General features: G+C 49.3%; 1 protein-coding gene across 3 annotated transcripts, besides 2 other annotated features; it reads left to right on the top strand.

The window, feature by feature from the left end:
- Positions 1-1,653: 1,653 nt before the first annotated feature.
- FMOD (fibromodulin) lies at positions 1,654-12,148 on the top strand. 3 transcript variants are annotated; one of them, XM_047416304.1, is made up of 4 exons: positions 1,654-1,731; positions 3,520-3,530; positions 4,499-5,484; positions 10,282-12,148. In XM_047416304.1, the coding sequence occupies exons 3-4, from the start codon at positions 4,506-4,508 to the stop codon at positions 10,431-10,433; spliced, it is 1,131 nt and encodes a 376-aa protein (XP_047272260.1). In that variant the 5' UTR covers positions 1,654-1,731; positions 3,520-3,530; positions 4,499-4,505; the 3' UTR covers positions 10,434-12,148. The 3 variants fall into 3 exon arrangements, 2 of the variants coding, with proteins under 2 accessions (XP_047272260.1, NP_002014.2); NM_002023.5 differs by lacking the exon at positions 3,520-3,530 and having other exon boundaries at positions 1,654-1,743; NR_103757.2 differs by lacking the exons at positions 3,520-3,530; positions 4,499-5,484 and having other exon boundaries at positions 1,654-1,743.
- Positions 6,239-6,899: an enhancer, noted in NCBI's record as "NANOG-H3K4me1 hESC enhancer chr1:203315005-203315665 (GRCh37/hg19 assembly coordinates)". NCBI's record gives its function as "activates a minimal SCP1, AML or CMV promoter by ChIP-STARR-seq in naive and primed H9 embryonic stem cells {active_cell/tissue: H9 hESC(naive and primed)}" and the evidence as "EXISTENCE:reporter gene assay evidence [ECO:0000049][PMID:30033119]".
- Positions 9,883-10,385: an enhancer, noted in NCBI's record as "H3K4me1 hESC enhancer chr1:203311519-203312021 (GRCh37/hg19 assembly coordinates)". NCBI's record gives its function as "activates a minimal SCP1, AML or CMV promoter by ChIP-STARR-seq in naive H9 embryonic stem cells {active_cell/tissue: H9 hESC(naive)}" and the evidence as "EXISTENCE:reporter gene assay evidence [ECO:0000049][PMID:30033119]".
- Positions 12,149-13,699: the final 1,551 nt, after the last annotated feature.

Genomic DNA, 13,699 nt, shown 5'->3' with positions numbered 1-13,699 from the left:
ACAGCATATCCAAAATGTAACTTTGGTTTTCTACCCAACTCAGTCCCACGTCACCTTTCCCATGTCAAGAAATGTTACCACCACCTACCCAGTTGCTCAAACTAAAATTCTAGGAATCATCCTTGACTTTTCCTAACTCTGCAAGACTTGTCAGTTCTCTGTCTAAAATATAAGATCTTCTCTTCCATTGCACCAGTCCAATCTGCCATTACCTCTCCTTGAGGCTGGGTTGGAGCCTCCCTGCTTCCACCCTGGCCTCCCCTTCTCCATACAGCAGCCCCTCCTACATGCTTTTAAAATGTAAATTAGATCCCATGCAAATCAGATCCCATGGCTTCTCCTGCTTGAAACATGTTTTTTTTTTTAAACATTTAGAATAGGCCGGACCGGATGACGCACGCCTGTAATCCCAGCACTTTGGGGCACTGAGGTGGGTGGATCACCTGTGTTTAGGAGTTCAAGACCAGCCTGACCAATATGATGAAACCCTGTCTCTACTAAAAATACAAAAAATTAGCTGGGCGTGGTGGCGTGTGCCTGTAGTCCCAGCTACCCAGGAGGCTGAGGCAGGAGAACGGCTTGAACCTGGGAGGCGGAGGTTGCAGAAAGCAGAGATTGTGCCACTGCACTCCAGCCTGGGCGACACAGCGAGACTCCTTTTCGATCTCCTGACCTCATGATCCTCCTGCCTCGGCCTCCCAAAGTGCTGGGATTACAGGCATGAGCCACCACGCCCAGCTGAGACTCCTTCTCAAACAAACAAACAACAACAACAACAACAAAAACATTTAGAATAAAAACCAAATCACTTCCATCGCCCAAAAGTCCTTTCATGGTACAGCTCCTGCCCAGCTTTCTGATCTTGTCTTTCCCTGGCTGAGGAATTCTATGGCTGTGAAATGGGTAGGACACAGTGAACCTCAGCTATGTGCCAGGTCAGGAGCCTCCCACACATCACCTGATACAGTCCTTGCTACAACCCAGCAAGGTAAGTGTTATTAACTCTGAATTTGTTGTGAGCATTAAGTGGAAGTGGATGATGCTAGTGCATAAGCAGTGATCAGCAAATGCTGGAGTCCCTGCCTTTCCTTTTGTTCCAGTGGTGGAGGTGGGCAGGACCTGTAGCCTAGAAAAGTCTACACTGCTTAGGGATAGAACTGGAACCAGAGCCGGCTGTCCCTTGTCATTCATGCTCCCTTATCCACTAGCCTGATGACCTGTCTATAGGGGGAGCTGAGAAGCGCGAGTTCTCGCTCTCTGGAGGGACATGTGGGTTGCTGAAGGAGTTAAGATGTCTCTTACCAAACCCTGGCCCTCCCCATCCCTGCATCTGCCTTTGTGGCTTTAATGAGAAATCCAGGCGCTTCATAAGAGACTGTACAAATAACTTCTAGGGCGCCACTAACTCATTCAGCAGAAAGGGACCCAGGGCTGCCAATGTTTCAGGGAAGATAAGTGAGTGGAAAAAAGGTGGTTTTTATAGCGTCAGGCGGACCGAAGGATTTGCGTGGTTGAGCGTGAACTCCGCCCCTGCAGCAGAGCTGAAAAAAACCAGGATCCGGGTTCCTCAGCCCCTTTTCACAATATTTGATTAGGAATTTGGGGCGGGACCCTGGTCTGGCACAGGCACGCACACTCTCAGTAGACTCTTTCACTCCTCTCTCTCTTCCTCTCTCACACGTTCTCCAACCCAAGGAGGCCAGACAGAGGGACGTGGTCACTCTCTGAAAAGTTCAACTTGAGGTAAGTATAGTCGTTTTACTTCGGGTTTGTCCCTAGCAGTTCCTTAAAAGAAATAAAGGAAAAGTGGTAGGGGATAGGGGAGATGGGGAGGCAGGGAGGGTTCATTCCTCCTTCTCCACATCTGGGCCATGACCCCAGGGATGCTGGAGAGTGGCAGAGAGGGTGTATAAGGGAGGGGTTCCAGCCCTGTACCTTTCTCTTACAGTTCCTTTATGGGTGCTGAGGGGACCTCCAATTCTCAGGCATGAAAAAGTGAAGGACCCTCTGTCTAGGGAAGCTTCTTCCCTGCTACTCATAAATCCCATCATGCTGGGAGTGTGGGCATTTTGAAGGGTATTCCAAGACCTGGATGTCCCTGCAATCTCTCTTATAGAGGGGTTTGGTACATAAATGCTATTATGGGAGAGGGGGAAACTTTTGTGTAGAATGTGTGTGTGTGTGTGTGTGTGTGTGTGTTTGGAGTGGAAAGGAGAGAATAAAAAGAAGCATTGAGAACTGGCCATGTCCAGGGAGCTGTGGATTGGGGTGGGGATGCAATCCAGGTGAGGGGATGGCCTCTGGCTTGACCTTCTCCACTGATAGGAGGGAGAGATCTTTCTCTAGAGTGGAGAAATGAAAGAACAGCAGTAGCTCCTGAGTAAACTTCCCCCAGCTGATAGTGTGGCAGTCCTGGAAACTTTCGACCTTACAGAAACTCTGAGCACAGGAGGGCCTCTAGCATTATGGGAAACAGTGTAAGACTATGCAACCCTGAAGCAACATTGCTAAGAGATGGGATGGGGTAAGGAGAGGCATAAGCTCCCCATCAAACCCTTTCAGCACCCATGGCTCTAAGAAGAGGCTGAAGTGGGCAGGGTGCACAGCCCCTAGAAAGCTGAGTCTGAAGGGGAAGGTGGCTCTTGTCTGCCAAGGTGCCCAGTCTGAAAGAAGGAGAAACGGAGACAGAGGCTCACTGTGCCAGCCCTCCAGACAGCCACCTTGGTCCTGCAACAGCCCAGGGCTGTGCATGGAAAAATGCTCTGTTGGCAGTGGGCCGCTCCATTCGTCTTCTCTCCTGGCCAGAGCCAGGAACCAGCCAGCTTGCCCAGGCAGTGGGCAGTTGGGTCAGCTTCTCCAAAACACTGTGGCTCTTTGTCTGAGGCCTGAGGCTGCCTGTGGATGAGCCAGGGTGCCTGCTCCTCTGCAACCTAGGAACTGATGGGATGAAGTGGGCCCAAGGAAACTGTTTTGAGGGGACAGAGAGGTCTGGGATGGATGGTGGTCAGGAGGTAACTCTGTTGAGTGTCATAGTTGGGGTCTTTCCCATCAGTTCACTGGATCTGATGATGTTGGCTTTTATACTCCTTTCTTTCTTCTGTTTACAGTTGCCAACCCCAGTAGGCCCAACAGCAATGTGAGGGCTGTATGTGACTCTTCCAGGCCAAGAAAGATTCTAAGGTTTCTCTGTCCAAGGGTGACACTCAGGAAGATGCCCACTGCTCACAGGAGTATGTCATGCATTGGCTATAGGTAACCAGGGTAGGGTACCCAGGCCACCCCTAGTCTCTTACCTTCCATACCTTTAGTTTCCCTCTCAGATGACATCAGACCCACATTTCCTCTTCAGTCTGCCCTGTTCCTATCTCATTAGCACAACAGGTTCAAAAGCAACAGGTTTCCAGCAATGTGGGGACCTAGACACAGAGCCTGGTCATCTAGGTGTCATCGCTGGGAGCAGGTAGCTTGGGAAAGGAGAGGAGAATGTCAGGGTCCTACCTCAAGCTGCTTTCCCTTGAGCATACACAAGAGTTTCCAATCTCTAGCTATTCTTTTGGTGTCCCTCATTCATTTCTCTTGGCCCCACATGGCTCTTGCATGATGCCCATGGTGGAGCATGAGGAGTGCTAACACCTTACTAGGCACCATGGAAGAGAGAAGCAGATTAACTCAGACTTCACACACTGAGTACCTGCTTTAGAAGGCAAGTGCCACACCCAGTGCCAGGGTCCTCAGTCTGGAAAGGATTTGTAACTGCTGCATGAAGACCCTGTCCCAGCCAAGTTGCATGTGTAGCCACAAACTGCTAACCAGTGAGTTTCCTCACTCAGCAGACTGTTACAGATGATGGCACTTTGGAGGGCAACCTGAGCCTTGTGGTGGCTGCAGAGGGACCACACTCCTCCCCAAACACTCAAGACCAAAAACTCCCAGCCTGCCCAAGAGACCAAAAGATTTTCCAGATGTAGTTCAGCTCTTCCCCTTCGATGCGTCAAGCGGCTTCTGGAGGTCTCCCATCCTAGGGCTTTCTCCTTGGACTCTTAGAAAAATACTATTTCCCCGGAACATCCAAACTGGATTTGGGTTCAGATCTGAAGAGCATCCCACTACCATCCTTACCACCACACCACAAACACAGGGATTGCTGTGGGCTTTTCAGCTTTCCCACAGGACTTTCAGAGTGCTAGAGGCTCCTAAGAATCTGCCCCTCCAAAAAAAAAATGCAGCTGTTCCCATTCAAAGACATTCTGTCTGTGACTCTATGACCAGGGGAAAATGCACTTAGCTCACCCCAAATAGCCATGGTCCGGCTGGACCAAGTGCAGAACCAGACTGGGAGGAGGCACCGAAGAAATGAGAGCAAGGCTCCTGCTCTCAGATGTTTGACATGGAAGTCAGCTCTGCATAGCTCAAAGCCTAAGGCTTGCCTACTCTGCCTCACTGCCTCTGTGGAGTCTCACTCATGCTGGCTTGCTCTGTTCTCTCCCGCTTCTTGCAGAGACAAAATGCAGTGGACCTCCCTCCTGCTGCTGGCAGGGCTCTTCTCCCTCTCCCAGGCCCAGTATGAAGATGACCCTCATTGGTGGTTCCACTACCTCCGCAGCCAGCAGTCCACCTACTACGATCCCTATGACCCTTACCCGTATGAGACCTACGAGCCTTACCCCTATGGGGTGGATGAAGGGCCAGCCTACACCTACGGCTCTCCATCCCCTCCAGATCCCCGCGACTGCCCCCAGGAGTGCGACTGCCCACCCAACTTCCCCACGGCCATGTACTGTGACAATCGCAACCTCAAGTACCTGCCCTTCGTTCCCTCCCGCATGAAGTATGTGTACTTCCAGAACAACCAGATCACCTCCATCCAGGAAGGCGTCTTTGACAATGCCACAGGGCTGCTCTGGATTGCTCTCCACGGCAACCAGATCACCAGTGATAAGGTGGGCAGGAAGGTCTTCTCCAAGCTGAGGCACCTGGAGAGGCTGTACCTGGACCACAACAACCTGACCCGGATGCCCGGTCCCCTGCCTCGATCCCTGAGAGAGCTCCATCTCGACCACAACCAGATCTCACGGGTCCCCAACAATGCTCTGGAGGGGCTGGAGAACCTCACGGCCTTGTACCTCCAACACAATGAGATCCAGGAAGTGGGCAGTTCCATGAGGGGCCTCCGGTCACTGATCTTGCTGGACCTGAGTTATAACCACCTTCGGAAGGTGCCTGATGGGCTGCCCTCAGCTCTTGAGCAGCTGTACATGGAGCACAACAATGTCTACACCGTCCCCGATAGCTACTTCCGGGGGGCGCCCAAGCTGCTGTATGTGCGGCTGTCCCACAACAGTCTAACCAACAATGGCCTGGCCTCCAACACCTTCAATTCCAGCAGCCTCCTTGAGCTAGACCTCTCCTACAACCAGCTGCAGAAGATCCCCCCAGTCAACACCAACCTGGAGAACCTCTACCTCCAAGGCAATAGGATCAATGGTGAGACCTTGGCAAAGGGAGGCGGGGACTGGCTGTCTATTTCACTTGAAAGACACTATTCTGAGTGCTAGTGGCAAAACAAAAGAAATAGAAATAGGGGAACCAGACAGCACAAATGAAGCAACCTGACAACCAAGCCATACCCCTGTACAAAAGAGAATACACTTATACTAAATAGCAGTGCTAAGACAATTCAGTGGGGAGTGGGTTGGTACAGAAGAAGACTTTCCAGGAGAGGTAAGTTTCATTCCAGGTCTTGAGAGATAAGTGGGCATGGGTTGGGGGTATGCAGGATGGAGACATTCTGGGACAGAGGCTTGCCACAAAGGAGCCAGTCATTTTCACAGGTCACCTGTCGATGTAGGGGACAGCTGGGAAATGTCACGTGTCTGAGATGAAGGGGTCATGTGTCAGGGAGCAGTAAGAGATGAGTTCGGAGAAGTTTAGGAGGGAATACTTCAAAGGGAGGGAGATTTAAGTTTAGCTTCTAAAGTCTGTTTCAGGAGAATGGTGGGTTGAAGCCCTGCACTTACTCACTGTCCCAGAAGAGGATGAGCTCTCTTTTTCCACTTGAACTACTCTTGCGTCTACAGCCTGGTCTTGTGTTTTGGTGTTTATTCTCAGAGCTGAATGCGGCACTTGTTCTGGTCAGTTCTTCCTGGAGTACAAGGACCCCCTGGTGGCAGGGCAGATATCCTTCCTAGGGTAACATGAGCCTGACTACCACCAAGCCTAGGACACTGGGCTTCCTGTTTCATAAGCACTTCCTTGCAATGCCCAAAGGAAAAAAAAAAAGGCTGCCTCCCTGACTCTAAGAAATATTCATTTCAGATGGAATTATCTAGCTGATTTTCAGCTCCCTTTAGTCTTAGGATCTAGTATTCAGAACATGCTTACATTACCCCAGGGCTTCTGATGTCTTAATCCCAGCTGGAAGGTACTGAGCCAGCACTTGACCTCCCTTCCTGTCAGCAAAGTCCTCTTCCATCTGGAGAAGGGAGGACTCATTAACGACCACTGGCAAAGGGCTTTGAAGTGGAGCCTGCTGAGATAGAACCGCACCATCAAAGCGCTGAGAAGAACAGAGTCGTCACCCTCTCCCTCTCATTCCTTTCTCCCCTGTGCTCAGGGAACAGATCAGTCATTGAGCAAGATGTTAACAAGCTGGGCAGCCCTCTGAGTGAGAGAGGCACCAGCCCCAGAGGGCAATTTGGGAGTTGACAGTCGGGTGGGCAAGGCAAAGAGGCATCTGTCTGGCACCTTTAGTTTGAAGTGCCTGACACCATCATGTACAGCCTAAACTCTTTTTTATTAAAATCTCTCTTTCTTTGGGGTCTTTTTATTCCCAAGGTGGGGATTGAGGGGTCCTCTAAGACGTCTTTTTTTTTTTTTTTGAGACAGAGTCTCGCTCTGTCACCCAGGCCGGAGTGCAGTGGCATGATCTCAGCTCACTGCAAACTCCGCCTCCTGGGTTCACGCCATTCTCCTGCCTCAGCCTCTTGAGTAGCTGCGACTACAGGCGCCTGCCACCACGCTCGGCCAACTTTTTATATTTTTAGTAGAGACGGGGTTTCACCGTGTTAGCCAGGACGGTCTTGATCTCCTGACCTCGTGATCTGCCTGCCTCGGCCTCCCAAAGTGCTGGGATTACAGGCATGAGCCACCGCGCCCAGCCAAGACATCTTGAAGATGTTGCAAGCTGCAGACGTTTGACATTTCCTTGTGGCTGTCTATCATCACACCAGCAGTTACCACTACTTACCTGCCACACACTCTGAATCCAGGAGCAGTCACATCAGAAATGTCACACGTATGCTGTGCTTCATCCAAGTTTGACCCTGAAACTGTGACAGCAAAGAACAGCTGTCATGGGAAAGAATCTATTAGCACCTACCCATACAATCAGAGAAAGTTGGGATGGAAAAGGCTTCATCACAACCTTTTATCATCGTTCTGCCTTCATGCAGAACCACATCTGCCACTCAAATGGGAGGTGGACCACCTCTTCCAGACGCTTGTCAGAAAATAAAATTAGTGCAGTTTCCTAAGGTCCCGCAAACAAATTCTCTGTTCAAACAACCCCCAAATTTTCGGTGTCTACTCCCAAATCAATTCTTGTGCAATTTAAGTCCAAGCCCCGTGACTAGGTATCACTTAGTCTCTCTCAGCCTTCTTTTTAGACAAAATAATGCTTTATTTTCCTTAAAGTAGTGAATTAATATATGTAAAGTGCTTTGTCTAGGGCCTGGCATAGAATTTAAAAACCAATGATAGCTATTATTATTAGCCTTTCTTCTCATTGCCACTTTAAAGTTGACAGGCAGTTTTTGTTGTTGTTTTGGGGAAAAAGAGACACAGAGAAGGTAAAGCCATCTCTCAAAGTCCTCCAGATGATGTAGATTAGAATCCTGACCTAAAGGACCTAGAGCCAGGCATCTCCGACTGAGAATGGTGAGGAATATCTCTCTGATGCAGACCACTAGCAGGAAAACAGCTCCCCAAGCTCAGCCCCCTCTCCTACAGCAAACGTGAGGGACATCTCCCTGCAAACCAGTCAGGGACTTGGGGATGGGGGGTGTTGGAGGTGGGATTGAAACAAGCTTCTGAGAGAGGAGCTTAAAGAAGAACAGGAGCTCAGGGGCGCACAGGGGAATCAGATGTGGTCCTCTCCTCGCCACTTCCCTCTTCCATCAGTATCTCCCTCAGTTTTTCCAGCCTGGCAAGAACACAGCTCAGAATGTTATTCAGAAGCTTTGGGATTCAGTGGAGCAGGGCGGGTACACCAGTAGGAATTTGGAAAGACTTATGTCAGTATTTAATTTGGGCTAGAAAAATGTCCTCCAGTGCCTCCACGCAGAAGCCTGTCCTATTCATGGGCTTGGGGAAGACGGGGGGGTGCTCACAGTACCCAGTATGTGGCTAGAGTCCATATACACTGTGTGTCTAGCTCCCCACAGGTATGTCCCACATTTACCTATCCACAGCTGGGATCTGGAATTTTAGCAGGCAGTCTGAGGGCTCCAGGCTGGGAAAGAATCTATCACGGAGCCTGCAGCTCCATCCTAAGTAGGGCTGGAAATGATACTTAAGCTGAGCCACTTTGCTTCTTCTCCTCACCCCACTGCTCTGCTTGTACACAGATAACATAGACCCAGCCCCGGTCTAGGCTCTGCCCCCAACCTGCTCACTCAGAGGCCACTTAATCTAGTCCTTGGGACCAGAAAGGAAACATCCAAAAGTATTCCAGAAATTCTACCCCACCAGGAGTGTTTTCCAAAGACGAGTATTTCCCAGTTTCCGCTACTTTTCTCAGTGTCTAATTTTCTTTAGGCCTAGATTTTCTGTGTTATGCCTGCAATACAAGTTAATTTGCTGCAACCTCACCTCATCTTATCTTGGTCAGTGCTTAACAGAGACTGAAAACCATTGAAAATGCTAATTTAAAAACACTTTTTTCATCAGCCTCTTTAAGCTCTCCATGCTGTCTTTCTTGGAACTGTCTTCTTCATACCTATAACCTCTCCCAAGGGGAGCCCTCATGGTCACACCTAAGAATAGAGTTAGAAAAGCACCCCCTGCCCCCACTCCTCGTGCCTGGCCCCAGACTGACGCACCTCCTGACCACTGCTGCAAGCCGATGGATGCCTCTGGTACAACAGCAAGCCCCAGCTCTGGGTCTACCCAAGTATTACAGCTGCTAGGGATGTGTCCATGGACAATCCTACCCTCAAGACCCAATGGGTAACTTCATTCAAACCCCCTTTGCAGAGAATGACAACAGGAGCAAGTTTCCTGAAAGCCTCATTCACCATGGTAAAGACAGCCCTACGAGGCTTCCTCAGCTTTCAATGGTGACTTTTGCCATCTCTCCTGAAGTTTTAGCTGAGTTCTTGGCTTTTCCTTTCAAGTTACTGACCCAGTAGACTGGAGACAGAGTGGTTGATTTGTCAAAGAGGACAACCAGAGGGACAACAGGGTTAATAGCAACAGAAAGATTTATGCTAATACCATCCAAGCAGAACTATTGTCTCTACTAGAATTCTGCGGTTTAGGGGAAAATCTTAGGAGACTTCTTTTCAGGTTTAAAAAAGGGAGTAGATTGTAATCATATTAAATGCAGGAGGCAGGGAAATTATTTATTTGACTTTTGAGGTCCCTAGCAGCCCCAGTGCTCTATGAGTCCCCAGCTTCCTTTAAACTCAGAGCCTTGCTCACTGCTCTGGCAGTATTTAGAATGGAGACGTGCAACCCACTCAAAGCCCTGGCACACAAAGACACTTGTCTCTCGGCCCAGGCTTTCTCTCTTTAATTTCCTGCCACTTTTTCTATCTGTAAAGTATTAAGTCCCTCCATTTCCCCAGTCTTCTTTCTCACAGCAATTCAGCAAAGCCCTCCCTCTCCAAAAACAATCAAGTATTTCAAGGTGTCTACGGTTGGTCTTTGGCTACCCTCTGCTTCCTACTGCTGCCCACAGCTGCCCACCTGCCCCCCTATCCTGCTAAAAAAAAAAAAATGTCCCAGAGGGAAGGACGCTTAAGAACATTCCTGGGCCTGCAGAGTAAAGTTCAGGTTGGTGGTTAGGAGGTGAGCTGCAGACGCAGGCACAGTCCTCACTCTGTCCCTAGTTCTGCCCCTAGTGGCGCCAGTAAGTATGACTCCAATCCTGGAAAACATCTGCCCTCCATCCCCAACTTCCACCCCTTTATCTAAGCTGCTTCACAAAGGCTAATCTCACTGTGGCTTCAGGTTCGTAATCTGGGCTTCTCTCCCTGACCCGTGCTCCTCTTGTCCCCACAGAGTTCTCCATCAGCAGCTTCTGCACCGTGGTGGACGTCGTGAACTTCTCCAAGCTGCAGGTGCTGCGCCTGGACGGGAACGAGATCAAGCGCAGCGCCATGCCTGCCGACGCGCCCCTCTGCCTGCGCCTTGCCAGCCTCATCGAGATCTGAGCAGCCCTGGCACCGGGTACTGGGCGGAGAGCCCCCGTGGCATTTGGCTTGATGGTTTGGTTTGGCTTTTGCTGGAAGGTCCAGGATGGACCATGTGACAGAAGTCCACGGGCACCCTCTGTAGTCTTCTTTCCTGTAGGTGGGGTTAGGGGGGGCGATCAGGGACAGGCAGCCTTCTGCTGAGGACATAGGCAGAAGCTCACTCTTTTCCAGGGACAGAAGTGGTGGTAGATGGAAGGATCCCTGGATGTTCCAACCCCATAAATCTCACGGCTCTTAAGTTCTTCCCAATGATCTGAGGTCATGGAACTTCAAAAGTGGCATGGGCAATAGTATATAACCATACTTTTCTAACAATCCCTGGCTGTCTGTGAGCAGCACTTGACAGCTCTCCCTCTGTGCTGGGCTGGTCGTGCAGTTACTCTGGGCTCCCATTTGTTGCTTCTCAAAATATACCTCTTGCCCAGCTGCCTCTTCTGAAATCCACTTCACCCACTCCACTTTCCTCCACAGATGCCTCTTCTGTGCCTTAAGCAGAGTCAGGAGACCCCAAGGCATGTGAGCATCTGCCCAGCAACCTGTGGAGACAACCCACACTGTGTCTGAGGGTGAAAGGACACCAGGAGTCACTTCTATACCTCCCTAACCTCACCCCTGGAAAGCCACCAGATTGGAGGTCACCAGCATGATGATAATATTCATGACCTGATGTGGGAGGAGACAGCCAACCTCAGGCTTAGATCAATGTATAGGGCTATATTTTGGCAGCTGGGTAGCTCTTTGAAGGTGGATAAGACTTCAGAAGAGGAAAGGCCAGACTTTGCTTACCATCAGCATCTGCAATGGGCCAAACACACCTCAAATTGGCTGAGTTGAGAAAGCAGCCCCAGTAGTTCCATTCTTGCCCAGCACTTTCTGCATTCCAAACAGCATCCTACCTGGGTTTTTATCCACAAAGGTAGCGGCCACATGGTTTTTAAAGTATGAGAAACACAGTTTGTCCTCTCCTTTTATCCAAGCAGGAAGATTCTATATCCTGATGGTAGAGACAGACTCCAGGCAGCCCTGGACTTGCTAGCCCAAAGAAGGAGGATGTGGTTAATCTGTTTCACCTGGTTTGTCCTAAGGCCATAGTTAAAAAGTACCAGCTCTGGCTGGGGTCCGTGAAGCCCAGGCCAGGCAGCCAAATCTTGCCTGTGCTGGGCATACAACCCTCTGCTTTCACATCTCTGAGCTATATCCTCATTAGTGAAGGTGGCTTTTGCTTTATAGTTTGGCTGGGGAGCACTTAATTCTTCCCATTTCAAAAGGTAATGTTGCCTGGGGCTTAACCCACCTGCCCTTTGGGCAAGGTTGGGACAAAGCCATCTGGGCAGTCAGGGGCAAGGACTGTTGGAGGAGAGTTAGCCCAAGTATAGGCTCTGCCCAGATGCCATCACATCCCTGATACTGTGTATGCTTTGAAGCACCTTCCCTGAGAAGGGAAGAGGGGATCTTTGGACTACGTTCTTGGCTCCAGACCTGGAATCCACAAAAGCCAAACCAGCTCATTTCAACAAAGGAGCTCCGATGTGAGGGGCAAGGCTGCCCCCTGCCCCAGGGCTCTTCAGAAAGCATCTGCATGTGAACACCATCATGCCTTTATAAAGGATCCTTATTACAGGAAAAGCATGAGTGGTGGCTAACCTGACCAATAAAGTTATTTTATGATTGCATCTACAAGAGTGGAGTCATTTAAAGCAGACTGCAGGAGGGTTACTTTAGGAGGACCTGGTGAGGTCGCAGGTCACACAGGCCTTGGACTGATGAGCCCTCTTTCTCATCTATTCTGTTCGGGCAGATGAAGCTAAGAGGAAAAAAAAATGAAAAAAAAAAGTCACTTGTATAAAAGCTGTAGTTAGCAAACTGTGTTCTGGAAGTTCTTCTTTAAGTCTAACTTCAATCCTCTCTACACATTCCCTTCCATATGGTCCCCAAGAGATATAGAATAACTGGGGTTTTTTTTTCAACCCTTTCCACCATCCTCTCTTGCAAAGCCGGTAATTCGGGATCTGGCTAGTCCTGGGTATTGTTGTCTTAACTGCTTCTGCCCTCTAGTGGCAACTGTGCAGATCTGAGGGCAGCCAAGCCTGCCAAAGCCCGTTGGCCCTGGAAGAGGAAAACAAACCTTTACCCCCCATTTGTTTTCTCATTCATCCTGTGTTCATATCGTGAAAGCCTTTGAGTGCCAGATGTTGTGATAGGTGCTTAGCAAATGTCGCATAAGTTAGGAGGGCAGACTAGGCTTGTGCCTTCAGAACAATCCACTATTTTCTGATAGGGAAATAACAACTGATAGTTATTGGGCACTAAATTCTGTACCAAGCATGTTGCAAATGTTACAACTCCATCTTAAGCCAAAGTAAACTAATTTGACTATACTTCTCTGACGTGAGAGTTAGGCAGGAATGCTAGTGTGTGAAACTACCAGAAAGAAATCATAGCTCTAATCACAGTCCTCTCCTCAAGGACAGCAGATAAGGCCCCTCTGCCTTGGATCTCCAGTACAGGAAGATGCCATGTGGAGGAGACAGAGATGTGGCACATAGGGCAGGAATTATCTAACTATAAGGAGGAATCCTCTGCCTCTCCGTTTTTGCTTCTTTGCAGCTCCCATGAGCATCCCAACCAAGACAGAGCAGGGAGAGGAATGGGAGCCAGCCCTGCTGCAAGGCTTCCCTTGTTTCTAAACCCAGTGCTTTGTAAGAAACAGAGTAGCAAGAATAGACTGTCCCTCAGGCTCAGTTGACTCTTTTTCTTTCAGCTGCCATTTGATCAGTCTTATTATGTGCTAAGGGCTTTACTTATTTAGTATTCTTCACCATTCTCTACCATGGAGATTATTATTTTCACTATTTTACAGAGGAGGAAACTGGAAACAAAGACACAGAGGTCACCCAGGAAGGACGCATCAAGGCCAGGATCTGACCCTGGCCGTCTGTCTCCCCAGCCTGTCAGTTTTGCAATATTATTTACACTGTGCTGTCCTAAGGATCCTTGTATTGTTGGATTATTAGGTGTATGCAGGAGGCTTGTGGGTCACTGGCTGTCATAAATAGAGAAAGATCATCTTACTTTTTTTGGAGATGGACCCAAATCCATTCTGCTAGCATTCACAGTTCCTTTATGAATTTCCAATTCAAAATTCACTTTTCATCAGTAAATGTTTAGTGAGTGCCACTGAGCAGGAACTGGGGATACTGCAGAGAACAAAAGCAAACAGCCCC

The sequence above is a fragment of the Homo sapiens genome, chromosome 1, assembly GCF_000001405.40.
Source record: "Homo sapiens chromosome 1, GRCh38.p14 Primary Assembly".
Lineage (NCBI taxonomy): Eukaryota > Metazoa > Chordata > Mammalia > Primates > Hominidae > Homo > Homo sapiens.
Note: the sequence above shows the minus strand (reverse complement) of the source record. Positions and strands in the feature narration are given on the sequence as shown.

Excerpts from the sequence above, each read along its gene's own strand:
- FMOD (XM_047416304.1), top strand. The coding sequence starts at position 4,506 with ATGCAGTGGACCTCCCTCCTGCTGCTGGCAGGGCTCTTCTCCCTCTCC. Across the intron at positions 5,485-10,281 it reads CCAAGGCAATAGGATCAATG|AGTTCTCCATCAGCAGCTTC; the intron begins GTGAGACCTTGG and ends TTGTCCCCACAG.